Source organism: Homo sapiens, chromosome 13 (genome assembly GCF_000001405.40).
Source record: "Homo sapiens chromosome 13, GRCh38.p14 Primary Assembly".
NCBI lineage: Eukaryota > Metazoa > Chordata > Mammalia > Primates > Hominidae > Homo > Homo sapiens.
In genome coordinates this window covers 101,485,893-101,513,456 of record NC_000013.11, presented here as the reverse complement: position 1 = coordinate 101,513,456, position 27,564 = coordinate 101,485,893, and the positions used below count along the sequence as shown (strand labels likewise).

The window sequence follows — 27,564 nt, the reverse complement described above, 5'->3', positions numbered from 1 at the left end:
ATTTCAGTGTACACAGGAATCACTTGGGAGGCTTATTGGATCCCCAAGCTCCATACCCAGTAATTCTCATTTAGTCTTACTGGTCTTACTGTGTACCTGCCTTATGCCATAAGCAGTTGCACACCTACCCAGACTCATCAATATCACCTTCACAGTATAACTCACATCTGTCACACCTGAGAGGCATTTGTTACATACTATGGGGGCAACACTTTTTCATTTTTATTTTTAAATATCCCTCTTCACACTCTCTGGAATATCAGGCAAGTCCTAGGTTCCACTGAAGAAAAAGGAATTATACAAACCCATTACTCATAGAGGGTTCCTTAGGGGTGTGTGCCATAGTACTGTACACTCAAAGGCTGTTCCTTTAGAAGTTCTCATCGATAATGCCTAAATAGGTGGACCCATAGTTCTTGCAAGTTAAAGTTGTTGACAAAATGCTTGCCAAATGAAAGAATGCAAGATTTTTAGCAAAGAAAGAAGCCCCAGACAAAACGATTCACCAGCACAAACAAAAGAATTTCCTGCCACACAAATGGGCAGGACACCAAACCACTGCTATGTCCTGGTACAGGAAACACCCAAGCAATCTTTATAATTTATTCTGTTATAATATATTCTGAATCCCAGCTTCAAAGAATGAGGCACAGATGCAGGACCTGGGGGAGGCTTTAGCATGCAGATTGACTTAAGGGAAGGTAATTATAGATAAGAATCCACATACCTCAGAACATTCAGAACAGAAAAGACATCTTCCAGTCAAAGAATAACTACATTTCCTTGCAGCACTCTGGCTCTCAAAACAAAAGGTCAACCACCCCATGGGAAGGGTCCTTGTGCTCACTCACAACCTATGAATGACAATCCCACAGTCCTAAATCTTTGATGAGGTGTTTAAATACAATCTGTATCCAATTCCGATGAAAAGCTTCATGTCCACTCAAGGTTACCTAACCATTTGTTCACTAATTCTCAAGGAAAATAAATAAATTTGTGAAACATAAATCTTACAAAGCAAATAGACCTAAATCCACATTTCTAAATTTGAAACATCATTCAGAAAATGGAAATTCTTAAGTACAGGTAAATCTTAGAAGAGACGTGGAGACAGAAATTTCCTGGATGGTGAGTGGCCTGAGGAGAAGCACGAGTGGACCCAGAATGGGAATAAAAATAGAAATAAGCGAGAAGTGAGGAAGAAATACAGAAATAACCCAGCAAAGGCAAAGTAGAAATAACATGCAGAAGAAGAGATCAGATCATCAAACACAAAGGCAAGTGGAAGAGGGATATCCATCTGAGCTTGGAAGTAAAATGACTTAAATGAGGATAGAAAAAATAGGACGAGTAGTCGAATTACAAAGAAACACAAAATCCACAGGAGTAACTGCTACTATTTGTCAGAGGGGTATTATTTCAAATTAGAATGACAACATTCAAATTAATCTGCAGACTGAAAAGGAAATTGCACATTTTGGTATGTCTGAGAGAAGGAATTCTTCCTCCCTTAGCTGATGCCATCAAGGAGACTTCTGGTTTTCATTTTCCAGTGCAGCATAACAAATGACCACAAACAAGATGTTTAAAGTAACATCTACTCATGATCTCACAGCTCTGCAGATCAGGAGTCTGGGCACAACTTAGGTGGGTATTCCACTCAGGAGGCTGACATGAAGGTGCATGTCTGGCTGCATTCTCATCTGGAGACTTGAACGGGGTAGACTTTACCTCCCAGCAACCACAGGTTGTTTGTGGAATTCATTTCCTTGTGGCTATAGGATGTATGGAAACTTGCTTCTTCAAAGCCAGGAAAGGAGGGCGAGAGTCTCTGCTGCTTTGAAGCTCTAACTCCAGGGAAGGCCTGGCTTTTCCTTTAAAGGGCTTACCTGATTAGGTCAACCCCACCCAGTAAAATTTCTCTTTTGATTAGCTCAAAACAAAAGGCTAGGGACTTAATGCTTCTGCAAAAATCCTTTCACCTTTGTGTATAAGTTAACAAAATCACTGGAGTGACATTCTATCACTTTTGTCATATTGTAGTGGCTAAAGGCAAGTCTCAGGTTCCACTCAAGAAAAAGGAATTATACAAGGTCATGACTCATAGAAGGTTCCTTAGGGGTGTGTGCCACAGTACTGTATACTCAAAGGCTGTTTCTTTAAGAGTTCTCATTGATAAGGCCTAAATAGGTGAACCCATACTTTCTGCAAATTAAAGTCATCTCTCTTTCTACTCCTGAAGTTTTCTTTTTTTTCAAATTGGAGTAGAAGAGAATGATTATTCTAAGAAAGAAAACAATAAATTAGGAAAATTGAATGTAAGACCTCAAACTATAAAGTTCCTAGAAGAAAATCTAGGAAATATCCTCATCGACATCAAGCTTGGTAAAGGATTTATGGCCAACTCCCTAAAAGCAATTGCAACAAAAACAAAAATTGACAAGTGAGATCTAATTAAACTAAAGAGCTTCTTCTGCACAGCAAAAGAAATCATCAACAGACTAAACAGACAACATACAGAATGGGAGAAAATATTCACAAATTATGTGTCCAACAAAGGTCTCATATCGAGAATCTATAGGAAACTTAAACAAATTAACAAGCATAAAACAAATAACCCCATTAAAAAGTGGGCAAAAGACATGAACAGACACTTCTCAAAAGAAGATATATATGTGATCAACAAACATATGAAAAAATGCTCATCACTAATCATCATCAAAATGCAAATCAAAACCACAATGAGATACCATCTCACACCAGTCAAAATAGCTATTATTAAAAAGTCAAAAAACAACAGATGCTGGCAAGGCTGGCAGGAAAAAGAGAACTCGTACACTGTTCGTGGGAATGTAAATTAGTTCAACTACTTTAGAAATCAGTTTGGAGATTTCTCAAAGAACTTAAAACAGAGCTACCATTTGACCTAGCAATCCCATTACTAGGTATATATCCAAAGGAATATAGATCATTATATTGCATTCAGATGTTCACTGCTGTTCTATTCACAATAGCAAAAACACGGAATCAACCTACATACCCATCAATGGTGGATTGGATCAAGAAAATATGGTACATATATAGCATAGAATACTACACAACCATAAAAAAGAATGAAATCATGTTCTTTGCAGCAACATGGATGAAACTGGAGGCCATAATCCTAAGTGAATTAATACAGGAAGAGTAAGCCAAATACCACATGTTCTCACTTACAAGTGGAAGCTAAACATGGAATACACATGAACATAAACATAGATACAATAGATGCTGAGGACTACTAGAGGAGGGGATGGAGGAAGGGAGCACTGGTTTACAAACTACCTATTAGGTACTAGGTTCACAACCTGGGTCCAATATACCCATGTAACAATCCTACACATGTACCACCTATATCTAAAATAAAAGCTGAAAGTAAAAGATAAATTAATTAAAGCTAGTACTCCTAAAGAAAAAAAAGAGAAATTGGATTTCTTTTTTGTACTATCTTTTGTTCTTTCAAGATCACTGCATAATTCATGTCTAGGAAGGCACTCTGTTGAATTAAGTAAGTTAATTGTTATAGTAACCAATGACATTCTTTAAAACATTGGGGATTTGAATTCTGACATGAAGTTAATAACAGGAAACTTGAAAAATGGTGTTTTTCAAGGAGATTAGACTAAAGGACTTTATTTGATAGGTTAAAACTTTAAAGGGACTATGGGAAGTCATTTCTGTTCACTCTGGAATCAGACACGGAGGATGACTGGCTTTGTGCATCACTAAAACCAAAATTTCCCCATTCATTTTTGCTTTGGGAAGTCACTATGATCAGTTTCAAATCTGAAATTAGGTCCATGTACAAACCTTATCATCCAATAATAATAATGATATTGAATATCGGTTAATATTGAAACAATCACAACATGTGCTAAGTAAACCGGGTCCAATGGTATTATTCAATTTAGAACCTGGGTAGAATATTAATTTATGTTTGTAAATAAAATTAAAATGAGGGATGAATGTTTGAATGTGATTTTCAGAGTTGCTTAATGCTGGTATAAGAATAAACAGATATAAAAGACTATATGGTTTGGCTGTGTCCCCACCCAAATCTCATCTTGAATTGTAATTCCCACAATTCCCAGGTGTCATGGCAGGAACCTAGTGAGAGGTGATTGAATTATGGGGGCAGGTCTTTCCTGTGCTATTCTGATGATCGTGAATGAGTCTCATGAGATCTGATGGTTTAAAAAATGGGAGTTTCCATGAACAACTCTCTTTGCCTGCCACCATCCACGTAAGATGTGACTTGCTCCTCCTTGCCTTCCACCATGATTGTGAGGCCTCCCCAGCCATGCGGAACTATAAGTCCATTAAACCTCTTTCTTTTGTAAATTGCCCGGTCTTGGGTATGTCTTTATCAGCAGCATGAAAATGGACTAATATGACAGATATGAAAGCTTTACTTTTCTTTTCTTTTTTGTTTGTGATTTATGTTTGGTTCCTTAGTCAATGTTTTCTATTAATATGAGCCAATGTTCTTTACTAACGGGAGCCAGTTTCAAGTTTGGGAAAGGAGAGAATTTTTTAAAAAACCTTAAAATACAGTTTATTACAATAAATTTGATTTAAAAAGTTTCTCAAAGAGTTGAAATATTGAAAACATCAAAGAACAAAATATGGAATATTCATCTGAGCTCTGGACAAAAACTTTCTTAATAATGACAGAAATCACAAATAAAAAATCAATTGATTTGACTACATATAAATGTAAGACTTCTAACATAGAATAAAACAATGTAAATTTTATTTCAAAAATATGACCAAGCATAAATATCCATAATATAATAAAACTTAATATTTATCAGAAAACACACCCTCTAAGCTTTAGTGAGAAAAATTAGCAAATATTTAAATATGAAAATATTCAATTCCAGTGATGATGTGATAAAATGGAAGCTCACACTTTGCTGGCAGGAAAGTAAATAGAACCATATTCTTATAAAGCAGTTTGGCAAATATAAGAGATAAGATGTTCCATACCTACCAATTCAATAACTCCTACCAGTCTATCTTATGGAAATGATCAGAAACGTAGACAAATATTTTTATGTAAAGATGCTCATCATGCAGTGTTTATAGTAAACTGGAAAGAAACTAAATGTACAACTTTTGGTGAATTGATCGTATTACAAATGTGTATAAAATACATAAAGCCCTGGCAAAATGTTAGGTACTGAGGATACAGTATTGAAAGACAAAGTTCTTGCTTTTATGGAGCTTACATTCTAGTAGTGGAGACAGCCAAGAGACATAAATAAATAATTACAGATTGCCACTAATGCTACAAAGAAAATAAACTGGGTAATAAGGTAGAGTAAGTGGGAGAGGTAAGCTGTGAGTCAGTGAGCAGATAAAGTCTCTCGTCTCATCAGAGTTGACTTTTGAACTCAGATTTGAAATATGTCAATAGGTTAGTTGTAGAGCCAGCTGCAGAAAGAGAGGTCCAGACAAAAGAAAACTACAAAAATACACAAGAAAAGGTTTGGTGCCTTAAAAACTACATTCCCATACTCCCTTGCGAGCAATGCCCTATGTACAATCTAAGTTTTATGAATGCAACTTGGAAAGAGAACAGGATAAATGTGAAGTTATTTCCAAAAGCTATCTTGAAATCTCTTCCTTCAGTTGTTCCAATGGCTCTGTGACCTCATTATATCTATTTTGCCTTAAAGTTATTTCCAAAAGGCCAGTCTTAAAATCTCTTCCTTCAGTTGTTCCAATGGCTCTGTGACCTCAATATATCCATTTTGCCTTAAAACACCAGCCAGAAATGACGCTGTATAAAAATGGTGTATGCAAAGAAGACAAGAAAGACTACATAAAAGAATTAAGTTTCCTAACATCGATGATATTGTGGGTGCTTTCTTGCCTCACATTATTGTGTATTTTTAAAATATCAAATAATTTATATATTTTTTATCATTAGGAAAGGTAAAAAATCATTCTAGAAATAGGTATTATTTGAAGCAGGATGATATGTGAAGAAAAATCTTTTTGTTCAACACAATCACAAAAATAAAAGCATTTATTTGTAAACAAAAGCATTTATTTGTAAATAAGTAAGTCATCTATTTGTTGAAGTATTTTCTGGATATCCACTCTACCAAGCACTGTCCTTGGTGCCGGGGTAAAGCAGAGAACAAAGCAGGCTGTCCTCCTGCCCTCATGGAACTTCTGGTAGGAAAAGCAGGGAATAAATAGCTCTGACTTCTCAATAGATGAATGAGGAACCACTATCTTCCTGAAGATTTCATGAAGTTGCAAGGAAAAGGGTTGACTTTACATATTATGTGGGAAGACTTTACTGGGGCGTGGAGAAGGAATCTTCTCTACATGTATTCCTTTTTCTCCCAAATGTCTTCTTCACCTCAGCAACCAGGTTTTTCTTATTTCTTCTTCCTCCACCCCAGCAGTTCTCCTTCTCCCAGATCTTCCCCAATGTCTTTATATTTCCTTTCCTCATACACAAAAGCTTACCTCTTCCAATTACATCTTCAAACCCCTCATCTCCACTGAACAAACAATGACTCTCTTTAAGATCCACAGTTCTTGGAAATTTGAAGCATATTTTGTTTTCATGTCACAATGGGTAATTAGTTTACAGTCAAGAGAGATCTCAGGAGAGAAGGATCCTACATGTCACACAAGTCAAAGGAAATAAAAAATAAAATGCAAGTCACAGGAAATAATAGAAGGAATTCTTTAAGCTGAAGCAAATTTTATCTCAGTTACAACACCTTTTATGTTTCCTCAAGAGTCAGGAATCACTCTTCATATGGAAATGTGTGCAGCCTGCAGGTGACGGTTGGTAGAGGTATGGAAGCAGGGCAGGGACAATTCTGGCTCTGCCGACCTGGCTGTGCCCTGATTGCCCATTTGTGCACCTGCTACTTCACCCTGAATACTTGGCAAATCTTCTAAGCATCCCAATACCTTGCTGCATGTGGTCTTTCAGAGTCGCTATGAACAACAATGCCTCCCATCAAGACCCCATTACTAATCTGATACACATTACTCTAGAAAGTTATCCCAGAATAAACAAAATAAATTATGACATTGTCTTTGACACATGTTAGTTTTGTCTTTAACAATCAAACAAATTTAACATTTCTTCTGTCTTCAATGTCACAGATGCTAGAAAAATGTAGAGAGATATGCCTCCTGGTCTTTTGTCCTAAATCAAACTAAGTTCCAAAATCCAACACATCAGGAATGTCTTATTTGGCTCAGCAGTACATTCTCACATTTTAGGACATCTGAAGTATTCTTGAATGTCCTTAGGTTAGTTCCACAGTGAGCGCATTGTAGTAGGCTTGCCATCAAAAGAATATTCACTTGGTAGGAAAGCCCACCTCTTCAGAAGCAGCTGAGTCTCTTGCTAATAGATCTCTTTCTCATGTCACTACTGTACTGTCATCCCAGGGCCGACATGCAGCCAAAAAAGGGAGCTCAGATGCTGGTGCTCTGCTGCTGAAGCAACTTTCAAACCTGCAGGCCTAGTCCCAGCAAGCTCCGCTTCTTCTCTGTTGCCAGTTTAATAGTTTCTGAAGAACTGGAAAGCTGCCACCCAAAGTTGTCAGTGTCCTCCTATTCAGTGGCTAGTTCAAACAGTGGTAGAATTGCTCTGGGGAGTATTAGCAAGCAGGAAGAGGAAGGGAACATCGACTATTGATGGTTTCTCAGACGGAGAGAAAGCCTTAAGCTCATTGGCTGGCAAGGAGGGTAGAAACCTCAGATCTTTTGCAGTTCTTCACAATGCTGTCTTGTCACCCATGTGTTCCTAGCACCAAATACAGTGCATGGCATACACTGAAGCAATCAATAAAGATTGAATAAGACAATAAATGTTTTATCCATTTCAATACAGATTGAATAAGATAATGAATGTTTTATTCATTATTACTCCCCTAAATCCTCCAGGCGGAGTTAGCCACAACCTGTTTAGGGTCCCCAGGGCAAATAAACACCCTTCTCTCCAACATTTCATCACATTCTACTCTATAGATTGATTTATTTACATCTTCTGCTAGATTATGAGTTCTTCAAGAACATGCACATCCAGTCCACAGTAGGGACTCAGGAAGTGTTCATAAAATAGGTTAAAAAAATTCCATTTACATGCACACTTCTACTACAGGAATCTTCATCATTCTGATTGTCAAAGCCAAATGACAAGGAGAGAAGCACAAATATCCTTTGAGACAATGCCACTGACGATCCATCTAACAGCAGAGAAATCTCATTCAAATACATTTTCATTGTGTGAATGCACTCACTGTTAATGTTGGCCTTTTGTAAAGGTCTCAGCTTTAAATGTTTATAATAAATAAGTAGGGAGGCTTGAGAGATGGTAACAGCTTAAAGCACAACACGAACACCCAAAACGCCTCAGTATTAAACACTTCCTGGAGAGATGACCTGCTGAATGTTCTATTTTGCCCTTCCCTTCTTCCACTTAGGTAGAATTATCCCTAATTGTACAAAAAGGCTGTGTGATGCTGGTTTTTTCTTTGACATTATGTGAAGATTTCATTTTCTCCAAGTATGGTGCAATGCACATTAGAGGAATTTGCCAGGTATATTTTCCCCCTAAAACACAGGCAAGACAGAAGCAGCAGCTACCAAAGCAAGTCATAGCAGTGAGTCAGCCAGCCAGCTATCATTTGCAAGGGCTATTTCACCTTCTTTAAATTATCTTTCCACAGAATAGGTATAAAAAGCTAAGGAGAGACACTCATGCAACGTTTCTGACTTCACTATTAATACTTTCACATAAAATATATATACAGGCCGTGTTTCAATTAATTTACCTAAAATTAACTTACTAAAATGTTGGTTGTAAATATTAGTTGTGGATGGATAATAGCATTTTGATGTTCTTGATGAATAATTTGATATAGATATGGAAGGAAATGTACAGAACATTTGCTTTATTAGTGAATGGTATTCTATTTGGCCATAAGGTTATGATGCACTCTTATTATCATCTTATTTAATCTTCCAAGCAATTCTGAGAATCAGTGTAAAATAGTAGTTAAGAGCTTGGACTTGGGTGTCAGATTGTCATTTTCAGGTTCTTTGCTGGATCGTGACTCTGAGAGGGCATGATTCCTTTCCATCTACTTTGTATCTCTGGTAGCATGTGTCAAGCACAAAAGGGATGAACAGTTTTATAAGAAAAACAGATCTTTAACTTTTTAAAAAATAAGTGTATGTATCCTAACCACAGTGCCTTTGACAGCCCTCCTGGAAATATATGTTTATAAAGCAAAATAATTATTTTTAACAATTATTCCAACATTTAGCAAAAATATGTCTTCATTTACAGTTCATTTTTTAATTGCCTTTATCTTTTACAGATTGAAGGACATGCCTGTGTTTCAGCCACAATCTGAACTTTTTATGTAATCTTTGCTTTACCAAGTCAAATTAGCCTAAAACCATCAAAGTGAGAATAATGATTTCACGATTTAGAGAAAGCCAGACTTGAATACTCCCTGTCTTCCTAGTGACAACCTGCTCCAGCCTATCACAGGCTGCTGTTTAGTTATTGGTTGCTCTGATGTCCCAAAACATCATCATCTTTAACAGCATCCATCATCTAGTCCATCATCCTTAACAGCAAAGGAAAGTCTCAAGTCTACCATTCATCACTTCCCCACAGTTTTAGCTATTGAGACTGAAGGAAGATTATTCCCTCCCAGGGACTAACCCCTCCACACAAAGAAAACCAGTTCTTTCTGTTGTCAGTGGTTCCTCATTTTTCGGGAAACTCAGGGTGTACTCCCCTAGGGGGTGTGTTGGAGGTCATTTCAGGGGTGCCCACTAGTGTCACTTCTAAAGGCATAATCTCTAATAACCATGAACAAACTCTGCATGGATCCAGCCCAGGTGAGTTCCTGGCCCACCTGGGGGCCCTTTCTTGATCCCAGCCCCCAAGAAAGGAATGTGGTCTCTTTTCCTCCATTATTTCAGAATAGTGTTTCCCATTCCTGGAGTCTGATTCTTCAAATTCTTGTTAGCATTTCTTCCACAGGTTCAGCAATGCCTTCTGTGGAGTACACACCTCCTGAACCCCTTAAATGGTCATGCCAATGAGAGCCTCACCACTCCCTGACCCTGAGTACAAACAGTCCAAGGAATAGAGGGTTAGGAAAGATGTGTACAACACTAAGTGCACAACCATATTTTTTCAGGAGATCCAGATCCTTTTGCCTCAATCTTAATTTTACCTCCCTAAATTTCACAGTATAGGAAAACTTGGAGGACTTTAAAATTGATTACCCCATATTTCTTTTACCAAATATGACATCTGGCTGGTGGAACACAGCACTTGCTTCAAATTTTGTGTGAGTTTGAACAAACCACTATCAGATTAATGCCATTTTATTGGGTACACATAAAATAAGTTCCCAAGAGCACTGCGTTTGAATTAGAGGGAGGAAATTGTTGGAGGGCACAATCTGTAGATGGAGAGGCATAATGGAAAAACACTAAGGAACAATCCAATACATCTTGCCTCATTCTCTCTTGTCTCCAAGGGAATGACTGATGTAGAAAGAAACATCCTAAATCTTTCTTTTTTTCTTCCTGGAACGAGGCACATGAGAATTTAGGGGAAAAGGGCCTCTGGCATTCTTACTGGTAACATTTCCTTTGCATTATGTTTGGATAATGTATAATCATTGTAGAAGCAAAGACTGTGGTTTACTCATATCTCTCATAATTGCCAAACAAGGCATTAAATATTCAGAGTTAGCAATAAAAGTAATTTAATTAGTAAATGTATGAACCAGCCTACCTGTCCCCAAGTAAACAGAGCAACCATATAACTAGCAGTTTTTGAGAATAAATTTGCAGGCCAGGAGAATAAAATTAATTTAGAATGTTATCTCATATACCTAAGAGACCATTCTGAATCTTTCAGATGGAAAAGATTTGACATATGCCAGGCACACCATAATGCTTGTTGAATAAGTGAATAAATAAATGAAGGACTAGGCACCAAGATAATGATCTCTTTTGAAGAAAGAGAGTGAGAACAAACTTAGGATGGGACACAGGGCTCCAGCATGGCCACAGACTAATTTCTTAGCCTGAGTAGTAAATGTAAGAATTCAACCTTCTGATAACTTATTATATCACACATGGTCCTATGTGGTTTCCTTAATGTGTGTTTTATTTAACGAAGCAAATGTTTTAAATTGGAAAATAAAAAATAATAATGTGCATAAAATTAAAGACTTAAGGTTTAAGCTATCAAAGAGCATTAGTTGTTTTTTTTAAGTGTGTACTTATATCTATGATATCCATTAATCCCTAAATTAGGGTGTCTGCTTGGGGGCCAATACACATTCTTATTTTTTGTTTTGTTTGTATCCCACTTTCTTTCAACGATGAGGCTCACCCAAAAATGCCCTTTCAGGTGAGAGGGAAGCCTCTGGGGAAAAGGAACTGGCTTACATTCAACCTTCTGGTCCCCAATTTCTCCATCTTTGTGATAAAGGATTCCCAAAAATTCAACCATGAGCCACTTCAGGAAGCTGGTTAGGGAGCACATGTTATACCTGTCCTAGTCTGCTCACCACTGATCCAAAAGTTTATCTGTTAGGACAGACCTTGGAGATGTGCTGACCTTATGGGAACACAACAATCAACATTATAGTATATTCCATAGAACAAAACTGACCTTGCTGGGGAGTAGAGCCTAAGGTCATGTAGCCCTTACAGATCTTTCTATCAAAAAGTAGGAGTGGTGAGGGAGTTTAAGGGCTATCATGGGGCATTACAATTCTCTGGAACACTGTGGTTTCCTTGCTGGGTAATATCTAAGAGTCATTTTTCTTTTTTACGACATTGTATTTTTGTTTACTGTAATCATTGTATTTAAAGTGTTGTTGAGGATGTCAGTGTCAGCTGCATTCTCGAAAGGAAAGCTCTTCCTTGGTTTTGCCTGGAAATTGAATTCACAGGGCACTGCATGCCAGGACTCCCATTCCACTGGGTTCCTGGGAGCCAGCAGATAAGCTGGCAGAATAAGTCTAGCCACACCAACAGTAGATAACAGGACAGTCACTCTCCATACTATGGTCAACCATTACTGCAAGGATTCTGCAGAGGAGTGTGATTCAGGGAATTCTGGAAGCCTGGGCCACCAAAGATAGATCAGGAAATATGGGAGGAATTCTTACCATCTCTTCATTTCACCCTTCCTTTCCTGAAGAAAGGTCATCAGATTTAAGCCAGATTGCCTGCCAATCATCAATTAAGCCAAATAGCAGGAGCCAAAAGGTGAACCACCCATCAAACTAAACTCTACCCATTGTGAAGCAGAGGAGACACACAGTAGTAATCAGAATAACAACCACTAAGTTATATATCCCTTTACTGTTTTAAAATAATTGTCATTATTATTTCATTTACTGTCAGGAGGAAGCAGGAAGAGCAATTAGGTTAGATGAACTGTGAGTACATTCAGCTAGGTAATGAAGTTGGGATAGGATTCCAAGTTTAATTTGCTTTTGTCCTGAAATGGTTCAAAGGCACCCTCAGACTGGATGTTGCAGTAGACTCTGATATTTCATCTAGACTCAAGCCTCACAAAGGACTTACATGTGTATCCAAATAGTTTTCATTGTTATTATATTTAGAAAAACAGTCTGCTTAAAGGCTGTAAAATGCTACTTCCCACCAGGATGCCCTTCTGCATCTATGACTGACTTACATGAAAGTGCAGGAAAAATGCAACTGAATGGTTACTAACCAACCCAATATCAGAGAAGGGGCAGTTTCCTTTACCAATGGGTAAATCTGCTCGAGTTCTTTCTTTTTCTGAGAAATTCAGGAGGATTCATTAGTAAATGATTTTTAAATTCATGTAATTTGAAAGAATAATAATCTCTGAAGAATTTTGTAGCAGTTGGTTAATATTCAGAAAGAACATTTCGCTCCTGAGAAGAAAGGATTCACACAGATATAATAATATAGCATAATGAACCTCATTGACAAAGAGCAACATGACATTTTTAACTTGGCAATGCTTTAATTGCATCCTTATAAATGAAACTTTCATTTCCAATATCAGTCAGCAGGAATTTCACTACATTAAACTCTGTTATAAATGGGAATCCAATGGACTCCACTCATAACTATTCAAGAAAACAATTTATAAAGAGATACTGCATAATATATTTTATTGGACTTTTTTTTTCTGGCTTGTTGGAGCAGGCAATGATCAAAAATGATCCTCAACATGAGGAATTAAACAAAGTGTATTCTGGATTTACTGTCTTTATCCTTAGGTGTTATTTTGTGAGACCACAGAAAATGCAAGGGTCGAGTGGCCAGTTTTAATAAGACAAACTGATGGTGGAAGATAAACCTATGGCCTTCAGTGGGGGAAGGCATCAGATGAAAGGAGTGGTGACAGGCCCAAGGCCAGCCAGTGGCCACACCTGGAAAGCCACACTGAGGTCCAGGAGGTTGAAGAGCCAGTGGAAGGAGGCTGACGCAGCAGAAGGCAGGAATGTCCTCCATCTCAGGGGCAAATTAGGGGACACAGGCATCTAAGCCCTGAGCCATCTCTTATTTCTTGTTTCTCTTTTCCCCAATTATTTTTATGAAACATTTTAAATACAGAAATCTCTCTCCTTTTTTAAAGTCAGAGTAATCCAGTAAAGATTCCTATGGGGATATCTGATTATAAATAGAAAAATCAATTGCCAAAGTCTTCTATGTGACTCACACTAAAGGGACAGGGGAAGCATGAGGCATTTATTTGCCCAAGCAAGAAGTAGCAACTCTAGATCACTTCTCTTGTTCTCTTTGCTCCAGTTCCAAAAGTGAGTCAGGGCATTTTATAGTGAAAGTCAAAGTCGGGAGAAACGAACTTAAGGAGAAGAATATCTGAGTGCTAGCAAACAATTTTCTTTCTCCATATAAAACCATAAAAACTTCTACTGCCTTCTACTGTAAGGCAATCTCTGCAGCCATCTATGCTGCTGATACAATATATTTTGTACTGAGTACCTCTATGTAATTGCAGTGTAAAGACATGAGGGAGGGGTTGACAGAATTAAAGAAAAGTAGAAGCCAAAGCAGAAATATCCAGCAACACCTGGTCTTTGATAACTAGGATAAAGTTTGTAAAGCATAAGAAAAGTATATGTGGCAAATGCAGGAGTCTGAAGCTGCATTTTATTTTATTATTTTTGCAGATAGCCAGGAAACAAGCAGCATGAACTTAGAGCACAGATAACACAAGGCAAAATTGTGCCTGAAGAGGACATTCAGAAACTGATATGGTTTGGCTGTGTCCCCACCCAAATGTCACATTCAGTTGTAGCTCCCCTAATTCCCATGAGTTGTGAGAGGGAGATAATTGAATCATGGGGGCAGGTTCCCCCATACTGTTCTAGTGGTAGTGAATAAGTCTCATGAGATCTGATGGTTTTATAAGGGGCTTGGTTCTCATTTCTTTCCTTGCCCACTGCCATGTAAGACGTGCCTTTTCTCTTCCACCATGACTGCGAGGCCTCCCCAGCCACATGGAACTGTGAGTCCATGAAATCTGTTTCTCTGTATAAATTACCCAGACTCAGGTACGTCTTTATCAGCAGCCTAAAAACAGGCTAACACAGAAACCTAGGTAAAATCCCCATCTGCGGCCGTTCATGCTATTAGGCTCTAGGAGAAAGGACTGGAGGTTTAAGCTGAGTAATACATCATACACCTATATATAAGTATACAACTGAACAAATTATTTAGGTCATCTGTATATTTTTTAAACTGAATGCTTGATGACATTTAACCTCTTCCTATTTTTTCTTCATAAAATCATAAAGCCTTGAACAAAAATTACTTGAATTCTAAATTAACCCTACTATAGATCTCTAGATGTAAGCTGACAAAAGTATCACCCCTTACCATCTGTCTTGGATAAACAAATCACAGGTACTAACTTAAATACAGAAGAACAATTATAATGTGTATATGTATTTATGATTAAAAATATGCCACATATTTCTACTCTAAGACAAATCATTATGGAAGATTATTTTAACAGTCTTGGATGTACATCTTATTTGAGAAGTTAAAAATAAAAAGCTTGTTCACATCTGCAAGGGAAATACATTCTCATCAGGCCATATGGAAAGTAAGGCTACTCACTGGGATTTCAAAGGAAATGTAAGTTTGAAGTGGAGACAACTCCCAATAGAAGCTATATGAGGTCTCGGATACAGAACATTTTTTTTTGGTACAAAATTTAAAAAAAAGAAAAAGTGCAACAAAAATTTAAAGTGAAGGGTCAGATATATTAAGATGTGCATACCAGGAGTACCAAATCATAAAACTGAATGGAAAACCTTACTGAGTGAAATCCCAACACAGAACCAGACACTACTATTGGAAAAACATCCTGATCAGACAAAATCTCCCCCAACCTCGGCTGGAACTGTAGACGTATTAAACTGTGTGGAAGGAACATTCATCTTTGAATCCAAGAGCAGAGAATGTTGTAGTGGCCCGAAAAGGTAAAAAAAAAAAAAATTATCAGCTTAATTACTGTACTGAGAAGAGACAAAATATTTGCTTGAAGAGCCCCTCCACATCAGAGTTAAAATCTTCCCTACAAACCATTTGGTCATCATCTGGAGAGACTGCCCTTAAGGAGCGTGACATGGTCACTTGGGGAGTAAGGACCGAGAGCTTCCATCTCAGGAAGACAAGTACCACTAGAGACAGTGAGCACCTTTGCTCAGGAACTCCTGGTGGCCAACTTAAATTAAAACACACCAAGTGGAATCAAAACTTGTCTTTCGTTTCCAGCTTCACTTTTTCACTACTTTGCTCAATTACGTAGAACTTTTCAGACTCTGCCTCCATGGTTTACATGTCCTGGTCCAACGAAACAGGAAAAATTGACATTGCAATTACATATTTTGAGGATGGCATACGGACTGTGGGGTGAGTAGAAGGGAAAAGAAAATGTCATCGCCTTGTGTCTAAAGCTGGCTCCATCGCCTGCTACTCATATCACTGGGATCAAGTTTTCAGAACTCTCTAGTACTTAGATCATCAACCTACAATTGAGGGATTCAAAAGGATTTACTTAAAAGGAATAATGTGAGGAGTTAAATCATTCTTTTACAGTACTTATCACAGTTCCTTGCACATTTGTAGAATTAATGTTAGTTATAATAATTAATATGATTGTCAGGTAAATTTACTTACAGAGCCAGAAGGCTACTTCTAAAGTAAAGGGCCACAATTCTAGCTTCTCTCATCCTGTAAGGACAACTCTCCCTCTCTTTTCCCTCTGGCCTCAGAACTCCCAGGTGGGTCAGCAGGCCCCCAGGCCTCTCACACTGTGGGCTTTGCCCTCTGCCATGCTTGTCCCAGGCTCCCCTGGCTCCTTGACATCCCCTTTACTATGATCTACATGCCTGATACTACAACATCCCAGGCTTTCCACAGGCCCCTGTGAAACAGATCCTGTTTACCTAATTCCTCCATGTTCATCTCTGGATTTTTAAGGACACCTTTATTCAGGATATGGCAGGAAGCTTCCACAAAAGTACCTTTATTGGATGAAAATTAAGGACATGGGAGAGGATTGTCCTACCTGAAAGTCAGAACAGGAAGAATTCAGCTCTGCAGGAATTAATATTCAACATAATGGTCTCTAATATATGTGTGGATTTGTGATTACCGCTATAATGACAGAGAGCAGTGGCAAGAAGGAAGTTGAGGATGGTAAGGGTAAAAGGTTCCAAGGGAAAGTCAAAGGCCATTGATACTGATTATCAATATTTTAAAAAACCAATAAGATGAGAAGTGGAAAGACTTAAAAATAGATTTTTTCTCTGTAGGAGTAAAGCTAATTACAGTCATTCACTGTGCCCCATTATCATGCATGCCTAATTATCATGCAAGCACAAGCACAATTATGTGTATTGTTAAATATTAAAATCATAGAACCAGAATTTTCAAGCTTGGAGAGACTTTTGAGATCATCTAGGTCAAGCCACTCCTTTTACAGTGAGGGAATTTGAAACACAAGAATTTAAATGACTTACAGGATCAGAGATCTGTGCTCTGGCAGAGAAAACCCCAGCCCAAGTCTCCCAACTATATGCCCAGGGCTGTGTCCCTGCTGAACACTAGCCTGCCCGGGAGCGTCTACCTCTAGATTACATTGGATTGGAGTGTGAAATTCTACACTGAGCACTATCTGTTGTTTTGCAACAAAAATAGGTTACATATTAGTAAATCATTCAAGTAGAAATATTCTGTAAGAAATAGCAACTCTGGAGAAATATAGGCTGGAATATATGTATCTGTGAGAAATGGTGGGTATCTGCATGTAGATAAATTGTGGAATTTGAAGCTGGTGGGAAAATTAAAGAATATTAAGAAAACCAATATAAGACAAGTAAGCTTTCAAAATGTTTCACTATATTATGAAATATACAATGTAAGATATATCAGTTTCTCTCTCAATGAATTGCTTTTACCTAGAATTACAGTATTATTTGTCCTGTCTTGAGATAAAGGAAAGCTATACCAGTTATGTCAACTGTAAATACACCTACACAAATGGGAAAGGTTACTCCTTACCAGGTCCCAGACAGACACCATGAAATCTCATACACCTCCCTGGTAGCTCCAACTAAAGACCCCCCCTTAATCTTCTTCTAATTCCCCTACTCATGCCCATCCTTATAGGAGGTAGGCCCTTCATATAGACTGATTGGAAGTGTACCAAAAATCATTTACTTAAAAAAAATCCCTTTTGCTAGTTACCTCTTTGTACAAAAAAAAAAAGTGTGGGGACCCAGAAGATTCCTACACAAATAGCAATCCCACTGTTGAGGAGCTGCACCCATACATGGATTAAATCCGGGGAGTCAGTGAAGTAGAAAGCCAAACCTTGAGGGGATGAGATGAGAACAAGCACATTTTCATGAGAGGACTCTAGGAAGGGAACAGAAAAGCACCCTTGTGGGGTTGACCGTGTGTCTGTCTGTGGAATACAGACAGAGCATTACCTGTGTGGGGCCTGGGAAACAAATGTGAATTCGTTCACAGCTACGACAACGGCCAGCTCAGATCCCACCATTTCCATCACTTCCACATCAGACATTTCTAAGCAATGAACACCAGGAGTTTTGTCTCAGCCACCATTCCTGCTACTTATATATTTTGGAGCCCATTTAAAGTCAATACTCTTTCTGGACAATTAATTTGGAATATAGAGTAAACTACATAAAAGTTAAAAAGGGTTGGCAACTTCCATGCTCTTGCTGATCAGTTCATGAACCTGAAGAACTAACTTAGAAGGATTCAAAACCCTTCCAACATCAATTAAGAATGTCAATCATGGGAAGTAGAGAAATATAGCACTTGTGTGAAATAATCCCCATCACTCTTGGTCTAACGCATTCCTATTCTTTGGCAGTGGATATCATACCACTGTAATCATGGTGTGTTGTAGAACCAACATTAACTTACAGAAAAATATAAAAGTAGAAAAGCGCTTATAATATCATCAACCTAACACTAAGTATTTCATAGACTTTTACATTTTTGTCTTATGCATGTATACTTTTCATATAGTTGAAAGGAAAGCGAATACAGTGGTTCTGGCTTTTTAAACTCGATTGTTCATCATATTTCCATATATTGTCTTCATACTCATCATTTTAATGACTGTAAATTACCACATTAGTTAATATGCTATCATTTATTTTATATTATTGGATACACAATTTGCCTATAACACTTGGCTATTATAGCCATCATATGTATAGCATTTTCCTTCTTCTGGATTATTGTCTTAAGATAAATCTCTGGAAAGAGCTTATTGTCACTGAAGTTAGAGCTCTGTATGTGAGAAAGTGCGTATGAAGCATATGTAATAAAAATATATTTATTTGTATACAAGTGTGTCTTTGAATAGTTTTTTTCTGACTACAGTATTATCATATTTTAGCCCTTTTCCAATGTTTGCCAGAAAATAATTTTCACAACTTTTTAAAGATTTGTTAATCAAGGAATCATAAATACAATCTGAAGAATAAATGGTCACCAAAACTTCAGTGCTGCAGGTGATCTAGAACTTGAAGGCAAATTTCATCTGAAATATGAGCTAATTTTGAGACTTTAAGTAAGCCGCATAATTGCTCTGAGTTTCAATTTACTTATTTAAAACAAAACAAACAAACAAAAATAAACAGGAACCTCTAAATCCCCTGTTTGCTTTTTGGCTGTCTGTTACCAGGCATTATTATTTGATAACTACCAAATAAACACATGCTGCATGTAATGTCTTATCACAGCAAGTGGCAGGTAAACAATGTGTCTCCTCAAAGTGGCTGAATAGTGGAGTATTCTGATAAATGATATTGAAAGGACAAACCTAAGTATGTGATCTTGGGTTAAGTACAAAGAAATAGAATTAGTTAAAATGTCTATATAAATCTAACCTGGCAAATCTCTTAAATGGATCTGAAATTAGAAACTAGCAACAGATGGCAACATACTTTGCACAAAGCCAAGTTTCCTATAACCTTGAAATTCTGAAAGGTCCCCAAAGAAGAAACATCAGATAGGCTCTTAGCCGGGATTGTCCTCAAGACAGATGAAGCTAATGGACTTGTGTCAAAAGAAAGAAAATGAGATAGATGTTCTACAGGCTTAGGTCCCCCAGGTGCAAGGACATTTTGTCATCAGGCATGTGGAATAAATCTTTAGGTGAATGGGAGGACAGATGTGGAAAATATATTGGCAGGATGAACAGGTGATGAAGGCACAAGTCACATATCACTCAGGAGGAGAGTTGTCATGCAGCTGAAGCACGTCCCGGACAAAGAAAATCTTGATGCTGATGTTATCACTCCCCCCATAGATCAGAATCACTCCAGACCATAAAAGTGAGTGCAAAATGTAATTTTAATCAAAGCCCCACAAAACACAATTTACTGCAATATTGAGAATCGTAATAAGAGTACATGACATGAGGATTATTAAAACTATGTAATCGAAATAGCTTTTTTTTTTTCAATAAGTGACATTGTTGGTATCTTCTTAAAGATACCCAGCCTTCATTCAGTTCATCATCCTTCAACAAATCTTTGGGATAGAGGATGAAAGACAAAAAAGCAAGAGCTCCAATTCTGCTAAGTAAGAAACTCATACGGTTCAGCTGGCCCTTTATTTATAAAATAGTAGAGGTGTATCTAAGCTCTAAATATCAGCTCCTTGAGTAAAATCTTGAAAATTCCAAGGATGATTTGAAATCTACTCATTCCACAAAGTCTGTAATTTCTACCTCCCCTTCCACCCATTAACCCATGGATTTATCTACACAATAAACTTTGTACAACATCTACTACATGCTTAACAGAGATTTACTCCCAGAAAAGTTCTGTGTAAAGGAATTCTTCATAAACGCATTTTATCCTTAGGCAGCCTGAAGCTTCTGCATTTGAACTTGGAAAAGGAAAGGGAGTGAGGAAGTTTAGGATTATTACAGAAGCAATGCGAAGAAAGAAAGAGTTAATATTCGGCTTTGGGAATTCAAAAGAGGATTGTACAGTGAGACAATATACTTGAGAGCCAAGAGAAAGGATTGTCTAAATTCCTCTGGTAGCTACCATTTATTCCACCAACAGCTGAGGCTGGTGAATTGCATAATGGAATTCCAAGGAGGGCAGCAAGGGAAAGAAAAGGAAAATCTCACCCTTTCAAGCTTTGAGGAATTTGGGAAAAGAAAGGCAAAGGAAAGAGGGAACAGAGAAGAAGAGGCAGAGGAGTAGACCCACAGAAGTGAATCCAGACCACCCTCTTAGGGCATAGCTCCAGCTTCTGTTCCAGCTGTACAGAAGCTGCCAAAGAAAACTTGAGCAGGAAATTAGTATCCACTGTAAATTACAAAAAGGTCCTAAAAACTGCAATAAACTGTGTCAGCTCCATTGAGCCAAATGGATTTCTGGACTCTAAAAGCAACCACATTCATTTCATATCCCTGTTCTCAGAAAATAGCAAATCACCTCCTAAATGAATAACTGCTGAGCAGGACCACAAATACAGTCATATATTGACTTAACGCCTTTGAACTTTCAAAAGAAGGAACTGCATTTATTTCAGACACCTCTGTAAGAAAGCGATGCACTATATCCTTGAGGAATCACCACGCTGTCTTCCACAATGGTTGAACTAAGAACCAGAAATACCATTTGACCCAGCAATCTCATTACTGGGAATATACCCAAAGGATTATAAATCATTCTACTTTAAAGACACATGCACACATATGTTTATTGCAGCACTATTCACAATAGCAAAGACTTGGAACGAACCCAAATGCCCATCAATGATAGACTGGATATAGAAAATATGGCACATATACACTATGGAATACTATGCAGCCATAAAAAAGGATGAGTTCATGTCCTTTGCAGGGACATGGATGAAGGTGGAAACCACCATTCTCAGCAAACTAACCCAGGAACAGAAATCCAAACACCAACACTGCATGTTCTCACTCATAAGTGGGAGTTGAACAATGAGAACATATGAACCCAGGGAGGGGAACATCACACACCGGGGCCCTGTCAGGGGGTGGAGGGCTAAGGGGAGGATAGCATTAGGAGAAATACCTAACGCAGATGACGAGTTAATGGGTGCAGCAAACCACCATGGCATGTGTATACCTATGTAACAAACCTGCACATTCTGCTCATGTATCCCAGCACTTAAAGTATAATTTAAAAAAAAATAAAGAAAAAGAAAGCAATGCTCATCCAGGTGATTCAGAATTTTTCATCTTACAAATCCACTTAAAAATCATCAGAAGAATGTGTGGCATAAGAAAATGACAATGTGTGATGGAGGAAAAGTTGTTACAATTTGGGAGGCCACAGGGCTCTCTACCGTAATGTGACAAATTATAAAATCCCTTCAAATGTAACAATCTGAATAAAACTTCACTACTTATATCTGCTAGATGAAGTTGCTCATAATGATAAAAAATGTTCAAAGTAGGTTAATTTGGAAGCTATCTGCTTTATAGGGTAAGTTTTGCAGTGATGGTAACGGGGAGAAGGAGGGTCTGAGGATGGAGTCTTAAGACAGTGCTAGAACTGGGCCCTGACAAACCCTATCTCCTGACCTTGCAGAGGAGAATGTAGGACAAAAAAGACCGATGCATTTTATTCATAATCTTTAATCACAGACAGAGAAGCAGACAGAGTTTCATTAAGGACAAAATTATTCACAGTAATTTACATAGTTACAGGTTGGAGATATATAAGCACTTACAAATTATATTGCAGAAAAGTCATCAGAACCTTAAAAAACTATTTTTATAAACTTTTAAGTGGTCCACCAAAAACCAAGACAGACATTACACACACAATGTGTGTCACACCACTTATTAACAATGAGACCAGTCTGAAGATGTTTTAGAGGTTCTTTACTAAATGTCAGTAAGTATCTGTGGCCCTTGGGCAACCCTAGGGATTCCCAGCTAATCAAGGGAAAAACCTGTTATTCAGCCATGATTTCTCAAATGAACCAGAAACTCTGCCCCTTCTCTCTATAAATCTGTCAGACTAAAATCTGAGCAGGAAGATAAACAGAGCCAGAACTACTGCATGTGGCTTTGCCTACATGTGTTAGGTTTGGCATATTTTGTCAAAACACTTATTTGTAGTTTAGCCTCTTCTCTGTGCCCATTTCCAATTTCCTGTCTTCAGAAGCTGTACCATCTCAAGGCTACAAATCCCTCTTACTCTTCAAGACTCAGCTCAAACAGCACCACCCACAAGATAATCCCAGGCAGAATTAATGGCTACTTACTGTGTGTGAACAACACATTACTCACAGCCCTGTTAGTAGTATTATTTTAATTAGTCTTGTCTTCACTGGCTTCAGGGTTAGACTGTTCTTTATTCCTTAAGAGGACTCTGTGCATAGTAGCTACTTATCAAGTGTGTCTTAGTCAGCTAGCACTACTACAACAAAAATACCATAAAAAGGTGGCTTAAACAATTGACATTTATTTCTCACAGATCTGGAAACTGGGAAGCCCAAGAACAAAGTGCGGGAAGATTCAGTTCTTGGTGAGGGCTCTCTTCCTGGCTTGCAGATGGCAGCCTTCTTGCTGTACCCTCACATGGTGGAGAAAGAAAGCTCTTGGTGTTCCTTCCTTCTCTTATAAAGGTACTGATCCCATTATGGGGCCCCACCCTCATGTACTCAACTAAACCTAATTATCTCCAAAAGGCCCCACCTCCAAATACCATCACACTGGGGGTTAGAATTTCAACACAGAATTTTGGGGGTAAACAAATATTCAGTCCATAACAAAATGCTAATAAAATTTAATGAAAAATACTACTTACCTTTATTAAATGCTCCCATCACTGCAACTAAGTTCATGAGACAAAGTTTAAAGTAAAAATATTTTGTTTTCTGCTTGTTCTAAAAGCTAGCAACCGTCACACTAACCTTTAGTCCACCTCTCACTGGTTTCTATTTTTCACCAATGAGTCAGACAAACTGAATGCTATTTTATCAGTTTGATCAGTATCGCAGCATCCTCTGATATCAATGACCTCATCCCAAGCAGGACATTTGGTTGCTTTGTTTTGCTTTTTTCCTGTACTGTGAAAAATAAAATAAAATAAAAGTTCCCTAACTCTCTTCTTTCAGAATGGATCTTACCAAATGTTATTCAAAAGCATACTTCCCTGGCATTATTTACATTCACTCTTTTCAGAAAACTAATTTTTCTGCTACAGATGCTATGCGATATTTTTCTAACCATATATCTGATATATATTCAACTATGTCAGCTGCTCTCTCCAAATCACATACCAAAGCATTTAAGGGGAACTAAATTATATTGAGCCCCTCCTATATGCCATGTATTAATAGACGAGGAAGGGTTCCATAAAAATTTAATGGGTGTGCTGAGGTGAAAACTGTCATTTCAAAGCTATAAACAGTTTATATCTCAAAAGAAGTAGAATTTGATCCCTACTTTGGAAAGATTTTTGTTTGATTTTTAACACCACCTGAATCAGACCTCCATCTACCATGTGTTTATCCATCTATCAATCCTTTATTTCACATTCTTAGAAGAGACTGGAATGCCAGGGCTATATGAAGTAAACTTCTATCTGTGTACAATTTCGGTAACCTTTCTTTTAATTGTTGGATCCGTAGATTGACATGATGAAAGCTGTCTTGTAACACATTTTAAAACAGAGTAGTAATCTAGCCACTCATTACAGTTTCTATACTTAAAAATATACTTTAGAGATAAATCAAATGTCTTCATTTGGAGGCATTAGCATTAAGAAATTTATCTTACAGAAAAGGCAAAATAACCACACCTCCTAGCTTCTTTAGTGTGGTGTTTTGGCTCCTACTGGTAAACAGCCATTAACATCTGCAGCTGGGCCACTTCAGCGGCTGCAGGCAAAATGGCTTCCTGAAAACACCAAAAGATGAAAAGGAACAGTCACAAATGAAAGAAAAGGAATATAACTCCCTTTTTTTTGAGAACTGGGAACCTAATATTGGCATGGCTTTAATCTTCTTTAATCTTTAATGAGTCTAATCTCATTATCACTCACACATAAACAAAAAATTCCATGAGGAAGACGCAAAATTATTGCTGTTGTCAGAACATAACACATATCTCCAAAGGTTGTAGTGGGGGGTTCACGAATAAGACATAGGGTACTTAGTACAATGCCTGAGCACACAGTACATGCTCAGTAAACTGCACTTTCTATTAACATGTTCTGTTCTTCCGCTTAGACAAGGAAACTGAGGTGGTTAACAGCTCTCTCAAGTTAAAGTTGACAGTCAGCTTAGGTCTTTCCGGGTTCAAAGCCTGTGACCAGGAAACTCTTCCAGTGTCAATTCCTGAAATCACTCCAGTTTTACTCCCCTCAAAGCAGTGAACGTGGGAAAGCTAAGCAGGCATATGCCTTAATCCACTTAAAGGTAAAGAAATGAACTTGGAAGTGCCATGCAGTCTTCTCTGCCATTATAGAGAGTCAGTTAAATGTATACATCAAGCTAAAAACTAGACTCCCTTTAAAGTGATAACAGAGGATGAACAGATTGCTCTGAAAAGGCTGTGCCTTTAATGTAAAAAGCAATTGCTCCTTTATCTTCAACCTCATTTGGAATTGTATACTCCCTCAAATGTCAATGCTAAGGCTGGCTCCTTGGTTAGAAAAGCATGGGCTGTGAAATCCAAACATCCTTCAAGAAAAACCAGTATCTGTTTACTGTAAGTCCCAATCCCTGCCATCCTCCATCCCTTCTCTCCCTTCTCATCATGAGGGAGGCCCATTTGATCTCCTCCTCCGAAGCCCAGCATTCTTACCATCACCACCTCCTCAGCCTCAACCTCCCTGCATGGCTGTTTGCAGTCAGGCCCCCTGTGCCAGTTTCACACTGAACACAAACCTAGTTAACAATTCCTGTCTTCGGAGCATCATTTGAGTTAGGAAGATTAACCCTTCTTTCTGACCTTAATGAACTGTAAGGAAATAAAACCTACAAGCTAAGACTGAACATACTTCAGTTGATGCAGAAGAGCTCTCTGCATCCAGTTTCTTAAAAAGCATAAGAATTCCTTACTTTAGGCCAGTGTGCTGCCAGTATATCTGAGCAGGAGATTCACCGAGGACACTGGTTAACCTGCACATCTACGGAATGCACTTCGGAAAAGGGGCTTAGGAAACTGTATTGCAGAAACACACCACAGGTAATGCTTATGATCACCCAAGCTTGGAATGCATGGCCTTAGGCCATCAGTGATAACTCTATATATTCCTGAGGTAATTGAACTAAACATCACATTGATTTATATTAAATATTTTGTCAAATATAATTGCCAATTTCAGCTAAATTTTCGCTACCAGGATTTCAAAAATTACAATCATATTTTTGAATCCTAACTTTCTTTTTTTAATGACATTGGTGTAAACCTCCAATATGGGTTTTACATTTAAACAAGAGGGTTGGTAATGTGGCAAGTTTGGTATTATTTTAGGTCACAGGATAAGGACAGGCTGTTATCAACAGGCTCCATATAATTTCCTGTGTTCCTCAAACATCTCCCAGCAACAGACCTGATATGATTTAAAATTAGCCTGAGCAATTTGACAGGATCATAACACCTGCCTTGGAGCTGTAACTACACATTTCTCTTGTGAAATTTAATATGCCTGGTAATAGGTGAAGCCTGAACATTTATACCTAACAAAGATATAGTAACAAATGATAAGATAGGCTATCAAAATCACTATGAGAACCTAGAAGCAATAAAACAAATCCAAGGTTTATGAAGAAGTATTATAAAATTTTGTTATTATTGACCTTATGAATGTATTTAAGTAGTTATTTACATTTTTTTTATAATTCTTCCCATTTGGCTGATGCAATCTAGAAAGCATTAAAAATAAGAGCTGACATTTAATACCTACGTAGGCATTTTTGGGTGTGTGAAATTAAACCAAATAAAATACAGACTACTGGATGTGTGCTTATGTTCCTTCTAGTGCTAAACAAACATGCATTGACTGAATAAATGAATAGTAATATAGCCACAGAGAATAGCAATTAGCATTAATGATTAAAATTACCATTATTTACAATACTAAACATGACATTTAAATAGCATCATGAAGTTTCAAAGCTGCAAGAGGTCTAGACTTTTAAAATATGAAACTTACATTGTGGATTTGCATTATTTATCATTTTTGCCCATTTCTCAAATAGTCTTTATTTCCCCAGTAACCTGCTCTCCTGTGTTTTTCCCCAGTATCTTTCATCACTTATTTTTTGATGGGGGTCTTATTTCCCCCATATTCTTTCCCTCTGATCTTTTCTAATTTTTATTTTTATTTCAATAGTTTTGGGAAACAGGTGAAGTTCTTTAGTGGTGATTTCTGAGATTTTGGTGCACTCATCACCTGAGCAGTGTACACTGTACCCAATGGGTAGTCTTTTATCCCTCACCCATCTCACACCCTTCCCTCTCCCAAGTCCCCAAAGTCCATTATATCATTCTTATGCCTTTGCATTCTCATAGCTTAGCTCCTACTTATAAGTGAGAACATATATTTGGTTTTTGATTCCTCAGTTACTTCACTTAGAATAATGGCCCCCAGCTCCATCCAAGTTGCTTCAGAAGACATTATTTCACTCCTTTTCAAGGCTGAGTAGTATTCCCTGGTGTATATATACCACATTTTTTTTTTATCCACTCGTTGGTTGATGGACACTTAGGTTGGTTCCACATCTTTGCAATGGTGCTGCTGTAAACACATGTGTGCGTTTATCTTTTTCGTCTAATGATTTCTTTTCCATTGGGTAGATACCCAGGAGTGGGATTGCTGGATTGATGGTAGTTCTACTTTTAGTTTTTTAAGAAATCTCCACACTGTTTTCCATACTGGTTGTATTACACTAATTTATATTCTC

At 37.7% G+C, this 27,564-nt stretch overlaps 1 protein-coding gene across 4 annotated transcripts in view; it reads right to left on the bottom strand.

Moving 5' to 3' along the window:
• The window catches only part of ITGBL1 (integrin subunit beta like 1), a 268,182-nt gene that overhangs the window by 207,400 nt on the left and 33,218 nt on the right, over nt 1–27,564 (bottom strand). Inside the window, exon 1 of one of the 4 annotated variants that reach the window (NM_001271756.2) lies at nt 23,457–23,559. The exons of the other annotated variants lie outside the window; for them this stretch is intronic. Coding sequence (NP_001258685.1) covers nt 23,457–23,493 — 37 coding nt within the window. The 5' untranslated portion in view covers nt 23,494–23,559. Of the gene's footprint in view, nt 1–23,456; nt 23,560–27,564 lie in introns of those variants that run through there. 4 annotated transcript variants of the gene reach the window in all.